Source organism: Homo sapiens, chromosome 4, assembly GCF_000001405.40.
Source record: "Homo sapiens chromosome 4, GRCh38.p14 Primary Assembly".
Lineage (NCBI taxonomy): Eukaryota > Metazoa > Chordata > Mammalia > Primates > Hominidae > Homo > Homo sapiens.
Window position 1 is genome coordinate 4655271 of NC_000004.12, and position 13311 is coordinate 4668581.

At 48.3% G+C, this 13311-nt stretch overlaps 1 protein-coding gene, 1 long non-coding RNA gene and 1 other non-coding gene across 10 annotated transcripts in view, besides 4 other annotated features; all 3 read left to right on the forward strand.

The window, feature by feature from the left end:
* The window catches only part of LOC124900165 (uncharacterized), a 230445-nt gene that overhangs the window by 113140 nt on the left and 103994 nt on the right, over positions 1 to 13311 (forward strand). The window lies entirely within an intron of this gene.
* The window catches only part of STX18-AS1 (STX18 antisense RNA 1 (head to head)), a 168808-nt gene that overhangs the window by 113140 nt on the left and 42357 nt on the right, over positions 1 to 13311 (forward strand). The window lies entirely within an intron of this gene.
* Positions 4820 to 4964: an enhancer, noted in NCBI's record as "145 bp enhancer 85 fragment used in the MPRA reporter construct; PK_construct_3817". NCBI's record gives its function as "activates an SV40 promoter by MPRA in HepG2 and K562 cells {active_cell/tissue: HepG2 | K562}" and the evidence as "EXISTENCE:reporter gene assay evidence [ECO:0000049][PMID:23512712]".
* Positions 4887 to 4897: a transcriptional cis regulatory region, noted in NCBI's record as "NFE2L2 motif; enhancer activity is reduced when this motif is scrambled". NCBI's record gives its function as "necessary for full MPRA enhancer 85 activity {active_cell/tissue: HepG2 | K562}" and the evidence as "EXISTENCE:site-directed mutagenesis evidence [ECO:0005528][PMID:23512712]".
* On the forward strand, positions 9056 to 9153 carry SNORD162 (small nucleolar RNA, C/D box 162). The gene has a single exon (NR_145783.1). It is a non-coding gene; the product is annotated as a small nucleolar RNA, C/D box 162 (small nucleolar RNA).
* Positions 9941 to 10441: an enhancer, noted in NCBI's record as "H3K4me1 hESC enhancer chr4:4666938-4667438 (GRCh37/hg19 assembly coordinates)". NCBI's record gives its function as "activates a minimal SCP1, AML or CMV promoter by ChIP-STARR-seq in primed H9 embryonic stem cells {active_cell/tissue: H9 hESC(primed)}" and the evidence as "EXISTENCE:reporter gene assay evidence [ECO:0000049][PMID:30033119]".
* Positions 11344 to 11939: an enhancer, noted in NCBI's record as "NANOG-H3K27ac-H3K4me1 hESC enhancer chr4:4668341-4668936 (GRCh37/hg19 assembly coordinates)". NCBI's record gives its function as "activates a minimal SCP1, AML or CMV promoter by ChIP-STARR-seq in naive H9 embryonic stem cells {active_cell/tissue: H9 hESC(naive)}" and the evidence as "EXISTENCE:reporter gene assay evidence [ECO:0000049][PMID:30033119]".

Here is a 13311-nt window from a genome sequence, read left to right on the forward strand (position 1 = left end):
GGGTTCCTCTTTGGCTTAACTCGTGAGCCTGCTTGGGGAGGTGGTTGGTCCCAGGTTTGCAATGGCCTGTCACTTCTATAATCAGAAAAGCAGTTCTCAACCTATGGATAATTAGGAGTTGATAGTAACCACATTTTGATCTGTAAGTGCTTACATTTTAGGCCCTTTCCAGGCCCTCTAGGGTGGTGGTAGGAGCAATAATTCTTTTATCAGGAGTATAAGGAGGCATGAAGGAAAGCTACGAACAGGGGTGCCATTTGACCTAGGCATTGAAGGATGAATAGGAGTTTTAATATTTAAAAAAAAAAGAAAGAAAGAACCAACAGGAAGGGCACTGCAGGCAGCACAGGGAATAAGCATGGGCAAAGGCAGGGAGACATGCATGAGCTTAGTAGGGGAGCAGGGTAGGCCGGCCATGGTGGCTCACACCTGTAATCCCAGCACTTTGGGTGGCCAAGGTGCGTGGATCACCTGAGGTTGGGAGTTCGAGACCATCCTGACCAACATGTAGAAAACTTGTCTCTACTAAAAATACAAAATTAGCCGGGCATGGTGGCACATGCCTATAATCCTAGCTGCTCGGGAGGCTGAGGCAGGAGAATCGCTTGAACCTGGGAGGTGGAGGTTGTGGGGAGCCGAGATTGCACCATTGCACTGCAGCCTGGGCAAGAAGAGCGAAACTCCATCTCAAAAAAATAAAAGGGGGAGCAGGCTGAACCTTTTAGGGTAGATATAATAGCAGAGGATGTAGGGAAGGGAAGGAAAAATGCAAAGCAATGTGAGTTTTAATAAAAACCACATGGTTATCTGACCTTAGAAGACGCTGTGGTCTGAATGTGTTCCCCAGATTCATATGTTGAAACTTAATGGCCAATGTAATGGTATTAAGAGGTGGGGCCTTTAGGAGATGATTAGGTCTTGAGGGTTCCACTCTCATGCATGGGACTAATGCCTTATGTTTTAGTCCGTTCTCCCACTGCTATAAGGAAATACCTGAGACTGGATAATTTACAAAAAAGGTTGGACTGGCTCATGGTTCCACAGGCTGTACAGGAAGCATGATGGCTTCCGAGGAGGCCTCAGGAAAGTTTCAAACATGGTGGAAGGTGAAGGGGAAGCAGGGACATTACATGGCTGGAGCAGGAGGAGGAGAGAGACAGGGAAGGTGCCACACACTGTTAAACAACCAGATCTGAGAACTCTGTCATGAGACAGCTCTACGGGGATGGTGTTAAACTATTAGAAACTGCTCACATGATCCAATCACTTCCCAGCAGGCCCCACCTTCAGCATTGAGGGTTACAATTCGGCATTAGATTTGGGTGGGGACACAGATCCAAACCACATCACCTTATGAAAGAGGCTTCATTACATACGTCCCTTTGCCCTTCTCTTCCTCCCACCATGTGAGGACACAGCATTTATCCCCTCCAGAGGATGCAGCAAGAAGGCACCCTCTTGGAAACAGAGCAGCCCTCACCAGAACTGAACTTGCTAGTGCCTTGATTTTGGGTTCCCAGCCTCCAGAGCTTTGAAAAATACAATTTTGCTCTTTATAAATTCACCACTCTTAGGTATTTTGTGATAGCATCAGAAATGACTAACGCAGAAGGCTTAGAATGGATGCAACCCTCCCACTTGCCGTTCCTCCTGGCCATGGAAGCCATGTGCTGTCAGTAACAACAATAACTACAATCTGCACATTGACAGGGGGCCAGGCCTATCATTTCATGCATTTGTGTTTTTAAATCTCCATTTCGCAGAATTGTTCAATGACTATTAAGCTTGGGTGTTTGGCAAACTTGGGTCTCACTTCTATTCATGGGCTGTGTGGGGCACTTACTGAGCCTCAGTTTCTCCATCTGTGAAGTGGGCCACAGTGTTACCTACTTACTGAGCCTCAGTTTCTCCATCTGTGAAGTGGGGTCACAGTGTTACCTACTTACTGAGCCTCAGTTTCTCCATCTGTGAAGTGGGGTCACAGTGTTACCTACTTCATGGATGTCGTGAAGATTACACTGAGCGGGATCATTTAATCCTCATACGCAGGAGACCCTGATCCTAACTTATCCAAAAACTTTACAAGGAAACTGCTGAGAGCCCAACCACTTTAGGGCCTTTGCTTGGCCTCTCTAAGATTCTTCTGACCTTTCCCACACAGTCACAATGTGTCAGCCTAGCTCTGAGCATCATCTCCTCACCCAACAATAGCACAGTAGGAAGGGAGTGACAGGGAACGCTCCTCTCTCCTTCCTCAGTGACGAAGAACTGTCCCAGAAGCTTCCCTGCCCTGAAAGACATCACTGATGTCTCACTTAGCAGACCTAGGACAAGAGGCCACTCCTAGTTGTCAGGGAGGCTGGGAGTACGAGCATCTAGCTGGCGGTCTCGGCTTCTCTTGTGGTGCTGGTCTCCAATGAGAAAGCAGGGAGGGGATGGGTTGTGGGTGTATTTCAGTGTTGGCTGTTCTGAGGTAGGAACTGAGCAGTTGAGAAAGGTCTGTGCATGTGTCTCAGAGGTGGAGATGACAGTGGGGGTGAGAGAGACAGAGCAGAGAACTGCTGCTGTCAGACAGATATGGGGGCTTAGACACAACAATGCCTCTCCAGTCATTTTATAGAGGAGGACCCTGGGGTCCGGACAAGAAAAGGATGCCCACTCAGCGCATGGTAGCCAGGGGATTCAGGGGACAGGCCTGCCTGGAGTGGAGCTTGCAGGATGGGAACCAGTGGAAGATGAAGTTAGGGTGCTAGAACAGCCTCGGAGGAGATGCACAGAGTTGGGGCAGACTGCTGCCCACTCTACATCTCTTTTCCTTAGTAACAAAACCTAATGAATTCAGGGCTATAATATGCCCAACTAAAAGACTGTACTTCCTGGTTCTCTTGAAGGCAGGTGTGGTCATATGGCTAAGTTCTGGCCAATGAATGAAAGCAGAAGTGTCAGAGGGACTTCTAGGAAGATTCCTTAAGGGAGCTGACTCATCTCGATCGAGCATTCCTTCCTTCCTCCTTCCAGGTGTCTGGAATGCAGATGTGATGTCTGGAACTCTAGCAGCTCTCTTGTATCCTGAGAGGACTTTGGGTCTGGAAGCCACATGCTAAGCTGGGGGGACAGCATGATGGAAAGAGTCTGGGTCCTGAACTTTCACATGTGTCTTCCATGTGGTCTTCATGAGATAGTGGGTATCGTCGCCTGCACTTTACAGATGAAGAAACTGAAGGAGAGAGAGCCAAGATTCCTACCCCCAGAAAGGCCGAGATTCAAACCCATTCTGTCTTATGTCAGAACTCCTGCTTGTATCAGTTGGAATTCTGTTTGGAAAAGTAGGTTTATTTTTCTCATGTAACAGGAAACCCGAAGGCAGGTGATTGCTGGTGTTGATTTAGCAGTTCAAGGGAGTAGGACTGACATGTCTGTTTTTCTCTTCACTGTTTTCTCTTGGTTGCAAGATGGCTACTGCTGCTCTGACCATGACATTCCTGTTCAAGGAAGAAAGAAAGGGGAACAGGGGCAGTACCAGCAACATGTGAACCCTTTCACTGAAAAAGTCAAAGCTTTCCAGAATCTGCTAAAGGCTTCTGCTTAGCCCAGCATGGCAGATTGTATTTTCCAAAGATGGTGCCAGCGATATTTCCCATTACACACGCTCTTCTGCAAGGTGCCCTTGCCACTCCCTCATCGAGAGGTAGGGGCTGGGCTGAGAGCGGTGGCTCATGCCTGTAATCCCAGCACTTTGGGAGGCTGAGGCAGGTGGATCACCTGAGGTCAGGAGATGGAAACCAGCCTGGCCAACATGGTGAAAACCTGTATATACTAAAAATACAAAAATTAGCTGGGTGTGATGGTAGGCACTTGTAATCTCAGTTACTTGGGAGGCTGAGGCAGGAGAATCGCTTGAGCCCAGGAGGCAGAAGTTACAATGAGCAGAGATCATGCCACTGCACTTCAGCCTGGGCAACATAGTGAAACTCTGTCTCAAAAAAAAAAAAAAAGGTAGGGGTTGTTTCTCCACTGTCTTGAACTTGGGAAGATCCTATGACTACATAGAACACAACGGAATTGCCTGTGCACAGCTCCAGGTGTGGCCCATAACTGGCTAGGAGCTTCCACCTCCTCCCTCCGCTCTGCAAGAAGTCAGATAACTCAGAGGCTGCCATGTTAGGAGAAACTCTGGAGGAGGAAAAGGCACCTGGAGAGATGGGGGAGCTCAGGGGTTCTGAGGCTCCAGACATGAGGTGAGGCCATCCTGGAGGTGGGTCCTTCAGCCCCAGCCACCTTAACTGGGCCCATGTAGAGCAGAGACAGCCACCCAGCTGGCTCTTCCCGATTGCCTGACCCACAAAACCATCAGCAAAATACAGAAGTTGTCCTAGGCTCCTAAGTTAAGAGGTGTTTGGTTGGACAGGGATAGGTAACTAGAACCTCCATAGTGGCCGAAAGATAACTGGCAGCAGTAGATCACTGGAACCTCCACTTGGCCATGCCTGACCTAAAAGGAGGTTAAGAAAACAAATGTTTAGTTTTTCCAGCCCCAAGATACATGGAGGTAAAGGAGAGGCTCCTCCCACCAGGCGCCCCTGGTTCTCTTTACTTTTGTGATTGAACCAAATAAAAACATCCACCACGCATTGGGCCCTATGTGTCAGGCACACGCAGCTTCTTTCACAAGGCAGGCGGTATTTATGGCTCCCATTTTGCATATGGTAATTACCCAGATTGTCCAGCTAGGAAGAGTTTGAGCCTGGCTTTGGACCCATGAAGGTCAACGCCTTACCCACCTGCTTTGTGGCTATAGCTATAGTGGAGAGTGAGTAGGTTAACAGCTTGGAGAACAGCGTTTTTGGTAGAAGGAACAGCCAGCCAGAGCAAGGATACACAGAATGATGACACAGCGAGGCTGGGGAGGGAACAGGGGTTGTGCAGGATGTGAGTCAGAGACCAGGCTGTTTTGCGGCCTCAAAATCTTGGACTTGAACCTGGAGGCAGCAGGGAGCCACTTCAGGGTCCGTTTCTTTAATTAAAATATTTGAATCAACAATAGAGTCGCATGGCTCACAAACCAACAAATATACAAGGGAAATGGAAAAGTTTCCTTTTGACGTCCCCACTCCCATTTTCATTAGTCTCCCAGGTTAGTTTTCTGTGTCGCCTTTCAGAGTTTAAGTGAAACAATGGTCAGTGAAGATTCTTATTTTTCCTGTTAACACAAAATATTATGGTGTCATTCTGCACCTGGCTTTTTTTGCTTAGTGATGAAAAATTTACCCTTTAAAGTGTATATAATTCAGTGGTTTTTCAGTATGTTTACAGAGTTGTGTAACTGTGACCACTATCTCATTCTAAAATACTCTCATCACCCCAGAAAGAATCCTGACTTTCTATTTCCTTTGTTTTTTTTTTTTTTTTTTGAGATAGAGTCTCGCTCTGTTGCCCAGGCTGGAGTGCAGTGGCACAATCTTGGCTCACTGCAACCTCTGCCTCCTGGGTTCAAGGGATTCTCCTGACTCAGCCTCCCCAGTAGCCGGGATTATAGGCACCCACCACTACTCCCAACTAATTTTTGTATTTTTTTTTTTTTGAGAGAGTCTTGCTCTGTTGCCCAGGCTAGAGTAGAGTGGCACGATCTCGGCTCACTGCAACCTCCACCGCCGAAGTTCAAGCAATTCTCTGCCTCAGCCTCCCAGGTAGCTGGGATTACAGGCACCTGCCACCATGCCTGGCTAATTTTTGTATTTTTAGTAGAGACCATGTTTCACCATCTTGGCCAGGCTGGTCTTGAGCTCCTGAACTCATGATCCATGAGGATCATGGCCTCCCAAAGTGCTGGGATTACAGGCATGAACCATCGCACCCAGCCCAATTTTTGTATTTTTAGTAGAGACAGGGTTGCACCATGTTGGCTAGACTGGTCTAGAACTCCTGATCTCAAGTGATCTTCTGCCCCAGCCTCCCAAAGTGCTGGGATTACAGGTATGAGTCATCATGCCCAGCTCTTTCTATTTCCTATATTGCCCTGGCAACCATGAATCTCTTTTCTAATAGTTTATCTTGCAGATCTTTGCATATCAGAGCACAGAACACTTTTTTTTTTTTTTTTTTTTTTTTTTTTTTTTTTTTTTTTGGAGAGAGGGTCTTGCTCTCTCACCCAGACTGGAGTGCGATGGCACAATCACAGCTCCCTGCACTCTCCTTGACCTTCCTGGCTCAAGCGATCCTCCTGCTTCAGCTTTCCAAGAAGCTGAAACTACAGGTCCATGCCACCATGCCTGGCTAAGTTTTAAATTTTTGGTAGAGACAGGGATCTCCTTATATTGCTCAGGCTGGTCTTGAACTCCTAGGCTTAAGGGATTCTCCCACCTTGGCCTCCCAAAGTGCTGGAATTACAGGAGTGAGACACTACACCTACCTAGTCTTTCCTTTTTTTATTTGAGTAATAGGTAGGGTCTCAATGCACAGGTATATTGTGATTTATTCACAATCCCATAAGCATAGCTATTGGGTTATTTCTAGTTGTTCTCTGTTATACACAGCCCTGCACTGAATAGCACTGGACCACAATGGATAGCAGCATTGTGCCTGCACATAAGCAGCATAGTAGGACACGTTCCTAGATATATAATTGCTGGGTCAAGGGCTCCATGGGAATTTGCAATTTTGATATATATTTCCAAATTGCCCACCACAGGGTTGTACCACATGGACTCTCAGATATGGAGGATAGATTGGGGCCAGTGTGGCTGTGGTGGGGTGGCAGGGCTGGTGGGGAGGGGACTACTGTGGCATTCCAGCTGAGGGATGAGGACCCTTGGAAGGTTAAACCCAAGGGACAAGGACATGGTGACTGGTTAGAGACTGTCTGAGGAGAGGATGGTGAGAGTTACTCACGATGATCCCTGGAGGTGGCATTCCCCCACTGTCCCCCACTGTCCATTCTCTCCTGCTTCTACAGTAATTGAGTTCTTAGCTGGCATGTGGGTGCCTAGCTGATGCCTACTTTCCCAGACCCTCTTGCAGCCAGGTGTGGCCATGGGATCAGGTTCCAGCCAATGAGCTGTGAACCAAAGTGATATGTGCAACTTGCAGGGCATGTCCTTCCTCTGCCCCTTTTCTTCTCACTGGCTGGAGTGCAGATGTGAGGGCAGGAGCCAGAGGAACCATATTGGGCCATGAGTGGGAGTTTCCTGTTAGGCAGAGCAAGAAGACAGAGGAAGCTTGGGTCCCTGGTGAGAGAGAAACAAACCTCTCTCTCGAGTTTAAGCCACGATTATTCTGGGTCTCTCTTAGAGTCACTATACATGAATGACAGTTTCTGTCCTCCTGCCAGTGTGTGCCTTTCACTAAACCAGAGGCTGCAAAGAGACAGCCAAGCTGTTTTTACTTTCTGGATATTGAATCTCACTCTGTGCCAGGTGTGGTCTTGGGTGCTGGAGTGTGGTGTGGCCAGGGCAGATGCAGTCACCTTACCTGGGGACCATCACACAAGGGCCTGCAGGAGGGGCTGAGCTGGAATGGGGCTCAAAGGTCTCCTGAGGAGGTAACATTTAAGCTGAGACCTGCAGGAGGCAGGGCCAACGCAGGAAGGGAATGTAGTGTCAGGCAGAGGAAACAAGAGAATGGCAAATTTGCGGCTTGGCAAGAAGTTGTGGATGGAAGTGGAGAGTGCAGTGACACGATCAAGGCTACTGTGTCGCTGGCCACTTTGTCCAGGACAAAGTTTAGGATAAAAACTCTCACACCAAGAGAACACAGCCTGCCCTAACTTCCCCTTCTGGGTGGGTTGTGGTCATTGGGAAATATTTAGTGATTGGCCGTTTAACTTTTAGAAAGATTCTTCCTAGATTTGGGACCCCGTGAGAAATTAAACACCAACCTGCATCTGGAACTTTTCTTCCCAGCGTCAATGTTACGAAGTTATCCAGTGGGTCCCTCTTGGTCATCCCAAGCTAACCACCCTCAGGGAATTAATCATATCGCTGTTCCTGCCAACAACAATATTCATTCAGGAGAAAGCAAACAGTCAAAATTGCACACTGATAAGATGGGTTTGGAAGCTCATAAAGAAGAGAATTTTCTACAGCTAGACAAATTACAATTTTCTCGCCGGGCACGGTGGCTCACACCTGTAATCCCAGTACTTTGGGAGGCCGAGACGGGCAGGTCACCTGAGGTCAGGAGTTCGAGAGCAGTCTGACCAACATGGAGAAACCCTGTCTCTACTGAAAATACAAAATTAGCTGAGGCAGGAGAATCGCTTGAACTGGGGAATTGGGGAGGCGGAGATTGCGCCATTGTACTCCAGCCTGGGCAACAAGAGCGAAACTCCGTCTCAAAAAAAAAAAAAAAGGAAAAATATATATAATTTTCTTAATTTTCTTACATGCACACACCAAAAAGCAAGGGCTCATGAGGCATGTTTCATGTCCAGCTTAAAGGGAGCCCAACATAGAGAATTTACAGGGATTTTCACCTTTATTTATCTTTGCTCTTTTAGGGGACTGAAGGCCTTGCTGGTTTCCTTTTCTCCTATTTCTGTTCCTATGTGGGGATATGACCTTTGAGGTGAAGTTGGGATTCATATGGATGCACATTTGGGGAGACTGTTGAGATTTACTCAGTTATTTATGGAGCATTTATTCATTTTAAGCATTTATTCACTCAACACGCATCCCATGCGTCATTGGCTGGCAGAGGGCTGGGGGCCCAGGGGTGGGTGGTGCATGACCCCTGCCCTCAGGTGGTTGTGAGGGAGTCCTGTGAATGGACAATGACAGTACTGTGTGACAGGTGCTATGCGAGGGGCTGTGGGGACACAGAGGGAGGCCCTGAAGCAGGCTGGATGGGGCTTGGGGAAGGTCTGTTGGAGCCTTGAAGCAGGGTCCTTTCACTTGGGTCTTGCCAGTTGAGTGAGAGCTGGCCAGGTGTAGAAGCAGGATGGATTCGACAGGGAGGGAGAACAGACTAGCTGAGGGCTGGGGGCTGGCAGGGCATCCCAGTCCCAGTCCAGGAACATGCAAAGACCCAGGGTAGCTGAGGCTAAGCGGATGGGGCCTGGGGGCTGGTGATGAAATGCAAGAGGTAGCCGGACACTCGTGAGCAGGGCTCATATGTCCAGCTGAGCGAGTGCAGGCTTCACTGCTCATACTGAAGCCCTACTATGTGCCAGTAAAGAGAGCAGGCAAAGCTGTGGACAACCTGGTCCCTACTCCCCCTGTTGCTGACAGTGTGCAGGACATGTCACCCCAAGACATAGCACCTCGGAAATGGAGAAAACATCAGAAGCAGGAAGGCCACTGTCTGCCTTTCCCAGGCCTTGCTGTATGACCACTGGCATGAAAGGATTCTCTGACCCACTCCCCTGAAAGTAGAGACCCTCATGTGACAGGTGTCCTGACCTGTACCCAGAGGAAAGGAATGAAGACACAGAACTGCCAAGACGCATCTGAACAAACAGGGCCTTGCTGAGCACCTCCAGTTTAGGACCCTGAGATCACACCCCCTCTCTCCAATCACACGACTGTCCACTCTCCAGCAAACCTAGGCAGAAAAATGCATCGTTTTCCTGTGTCTTTGAGTCTTGATTTCTGAAGGTTCGCATGTCACATAAAACTTAGATGGAATCAATGCATCGCACTTTTCTCTTGTTAATATGTCTTTTCTTATAGGGGTGTCTGCTATGAAGCTTGCCATGGGGGAGGAAAGGGTATAGTTTTCTCCCCCTGCAATGCTCAGAGTGCACTTGGGAAACCATAAGCAGGTGATTATCATTGAGGCTTTAGGAGGTACGTTAGTTTCCTGTGGCTGCTGTACAAAGTGCCACAAACTGGGTGGCTTAAAACAACAGAAATGATTCCTCCCTAGTTCTGGAAGCTGGAAGTGAAATCCACATGTCCTGAGTCCATGTTCCCTCTGAAGCTCTTGGGGGTGGGGGATCCTTTCTCTCCTCTTCCAGCCTCCGTGATTGCTTGTAATCCTTGGCCTTCCTTGGCTTATGGCTGCCATCTCTGCCTCTTTCTTCACATGCCTCCTTCTTTGTCTGTTTCTGTGTCCAAATCTTCCTCTTCTTAACAGGACACCAGTCATGGGATTAGGACCCATCCTAATTGATGTGACCTCATTTTACCTTGATTGCATCTGCAAAGGGCCTATTTCCAAGTAAGGTGACATTCACAGGCACTACAGGCTAGGATTTGAACATATCTTTTGTGGAGACACAATTCAACCTGCAGTAAGATGCTAACCAAGCACACCCCTCTCCTCTGAATCTGCCTGAGCTCTAAATCCACTGAAGTCAGGTGGACAGCACCAAAGTATCCACTGTGCTCTGTCTAGAAGCTGGTGACTGTGTGGGATAAGTGCTGCACCAGTGCACCTCCTCTGGCCACCCCAGAATCAGGCAGGTTCACCCACGCAGTCCAAGCCACCCTGCAAGGCAGGAGGGATGAGAACGGCCATGAATGTCCCTTTCATGGAACCTGGATCTTGCAGCCAGGACAGGAGGTTGCCCTATCCTGAAAATTCCAGATGATGAGCATGGGCTGTGCAGTGCGCAATGGGAACAGAGGACAGACACAGACATCCCCAGACATGGTGCTTGGGTCTGTAGAGGGGTCCACAAAAAGAGACGATTGTAAATGGGACAGATAGGAAGGAGTCAGAAAGAGTGGAAGGTTGCAGCAGTCTTGGCAGAAACCCTGCAGTGAGAACTCCACTGGATGGGGGAACAGCATTCCCCCTGCCCCCCACAACACATTCCCCTCACATCCTTGCTTCTGGGACGTGTTCCTTTCAAATTGTCAAAATGTCAAAAGGAGGCAAGCATGCATGGTCGGTTACGCGTCCAAAATGAAATCGAACAACCCAAGGTCCTCCTGAGAACCAGCTAGGTCCCGACCACTTGCGCATTTGAATCATTTCTGATCTGGGTTTCTGGCCTGGGCTCTGCAGGCCCTAGCACCCAAGGAGGCCAACTCACTGAAGTAGCCTACGCTTCAATGTTTGGCTGTTTGCATTTCTTGACAAAGGAAATTTGTTGGGCTTAAGTTGCCAAGGGTTTGCATCTGGATCCTATGATGTTTGGCTTTGGGAGGGCTGTGCGCAGAACTGGCTCTGGGGCCTCCACCGGCCTCCATGTAATTAACTTAAGTGCTTCGAAGATGAAAGCTTATTTGCCTGATCCTGGATTATGGCATGTGCCGTGAAGGTAGGCAGAGCAGACCTCGCCAGTTATCTCTCGCTATTGAAGTTTCCAAAGAAACCAGTGGTGGACAGTGGAAGTCAGGAAGTTTGGGCATGTTGGAATTTATTAAATTTGCAGTTAAAAAAAAAAAAAAGTTCTGGTTGCCAGCACAAAGAGGTTAAGTGGAAACAACTTTACATAATGAAGTGGTTAATCATATTTTGCTTTAGAAACACTAATATCATAAATTGGCCTCATACTTTTGTGCTTCCAGTTTCAACAATAGAGCAAAGACATTAATTTCCTGGTTTGGTATAACTTCTGGGATTTTCCTTCTGGGCCTCCTCCTCCTTCTCCTCCCTTCTCTCCCCCCTCAGCTGGAGTGAGGAAGATAGCTTTGATCCTAGATGCTCTGGAGGCCTGGGGGAGGTGAAAGGGGGGATGGTGAGGATTCCTACAGGTGATTTTTAGGCCTGAATTCCATTGTGACAGCAATGATTTATTTTAACTACTAACCCAGGAAAGCAGGCGCCACCAGGATGAATACCTCCATCAGCTTCTAGCAGACTAATTTTACTGTTTATGAATCACTAATATGTTTAAGAAAAAAAAAGGGAGTACTATTTTAGATAACTAAAAGTAAGACTTCGAGAAAAGACCTCATGGTGCTCAAACAGTTCCACATGGGAAAGATGACTTTGGATTACAAGATAGAGAACACATGGGGTCCAGAGAGCTGCCCCCAACCTCCGCAGCAGGCAGAGGCTACTGGCAGATGAAACACTTTCATCTCTCCCAGGGAGATAAACAGGCCGGTCTGGATGGGCCTCTTTATTTACAAAAGAAAATTAAATCCGTTTTAACACTTGCACCATTCATAGGAAACACATGTTGGCTGGTAATTGTTTTGAACTCATTTTGAGCTGGGCTGCACCACGTTGGGCTGCCCTTGCGTTTTCGCACTGGTTTGAGATGGCCGTGGAATTTGCAAGGAATTTTCTTCCCAATTCCAGAGGCTCCACGAGGGGGCCGTTCCTTGGCCAAGCTGGCAGAAGAGCACTGTTTGGCTTCCTGCCTCCTGGAGGGAAGCACTTTCCCCTTATTGGGAGAGGGCTGCCCCCAGCGCCCCTTGGCCCCGCATTCTTATCGGGAGATTGGAAAGAATCAAAGGGTCTCACGGCCCTAATTGAGCCTGAAGGGCTTCCTTCCCTCCCACCTGGGAGTTTTCTCAGAAGAAGAAATAAAAGGTTGGGTGATTTTCCCAAGAGTTTCTGTTGGAGTTTTACAGCTGCAAGGAGGCGTCATTCCGAATTTGGGTGTCACCCAGCTTTTCGAATGCTAATATGCATACGATTTCCTGGGGATCTCGTGAAATGCAGATTCTGATTCAGTGGGTCGGGGGTGGGGCCTGAGATTCTAACATTCTCGCTGATTGGGCTGATCAGAGTCCCATACATGACGTTCTCAGACCTTCCCTTCCAGCGCATCAGAATCAGGGCTCGTTAAAATGCAGATCGCGGGGCCCCTCCTGCAGAGGCTCTCATTCCACAAGTCTCGGGTGGAACCTGAGGATTTGTGTCTCTAGTAAGCTCCCAGGTCATGCTGATGTTGCTGGTTTGGGGAGAACACTTTCAAACCACTGTCCAAAACCAATGCCCTGAGAAGAAGCGAGCGCGTTTTTCCATGGGGTTCCCTACTGTCCAGGCACCAGGAATGGCTCTGCTTGAGGGCAGAAGATGGGGTTTGACTGAGAAGGTCTAGGCTGCCGTTCTCCATTGGACGTATTTTCTGGAGCTGTTCGCTTACCCTGGAAGGCCCCTTTTCTTCCTCTCTCTCCAAATTGCCTCCCACTCATTTCCAAAGCTCAGTGCCGGCGTCACCTCCTCCAGGGAGCCTTCTTTTCCTCCAGGCCTGAGTTTGTTTCTGCAGTACATTTTGCATGTCTGTATCATCACTTCATTTCACCACAGTGACCTATTTGCAGGTAATAGATAGTGCGGGAGGTCCTCTCTGAAACCTCAGAGAACAGGACAGAGAAAGTAGCAAGCAGATATTTCTTAAATGAATGAACAAATATCTTTCCAGTGGCATCTTTGCCTGCTGTGTGTCCTTGGACAGGTTATTTAACCTCT